At 44.6% G+C, this 671-nt stretch overlaps 1 annotated feature.

Moving 5' to 3' along the window:
• Positions 335 to 384: a silencer, noted in NCBI's record as "silent region_18681". NCBI's record gives its function as "represses an Ori minimal core promoter by ATAC-STARR-seq in GM12878 lymphoblastoid cells {active_cell/tissue: GM12878}" and the evidence as "EXISTENCE:reporter gene assay evidence [ECO:0000049][PMID:35858748]".

The following is a 671-nucleotide window of genomic DNA, read 5'->3' as shown; positions in this document are numbered from 1 at the left end:
TATAGCTTTTCCAGGGTTTAAAATTGCCTGAGCCAGCAAATCCACTCTTTACCCTTTTCCTTGCAGTGAATTTTCTAAGAGCAGAAACGCAGTCACGCAGTCAGCCTTCTCAGATGGAAAAGGGATTGTTCCCATTGGTGTGTTCAGCAACTTCAAATTTCACCCCCTATTCTGGCAGGTTCTAAGCCACTCTATTGTCCCTTTAAGGCTTTTAAAAATGATCTTTACTTTTCCCCTAATCAACCTAGTCATAAACAGCTGCATGACTCCTTAGCCAAGCAATTAATCATGGCAGGGATGGGCATGGCGGGGAGGATGGACAAACCAGAAAAACTGCCTAAGTAGCCTGAACAGCAGCTGTTGCATCACAGACTCCCAGCATTACAGAGTTAGAAGAACATCTGAGTCGCCAAACCACTGACTTTGCATGTTTTTCACGGAACACTAGAAAGACAAGGTGCAGTGAGGTGGGGCGACTTTGCTAGAGTCTGGCAACTAGCTGAATAATCAGAGAAAGGAGGGAAGGAAACGAATATATTCTGAGCACCTCCAGGCACAGGCTGGGTGCTTTCCATGTATTTAACTCTCACACTAACCTTGTGAATATGCATTGTAGTATTCTTTGTATAGGTGTGCTCACAAAAGTTAAGCCCACAGACCTTGTCCAAGGT

Source organism: Homo sapiens, chromosome 7, assembly GCF_000001405.40.
Source record: "Homo sapiens chromosome 7, GRCh38.p14 Primary Assembly".
NCBI classification, from domain to species: Eukaryota; Metazoa; Chordata; class Mammalia; order Primates; family Hominidae; genus Homo; species Homo sapiens.
This window is presented reverse-complemented; position numbering and strand designations above follow the sequence as displayed.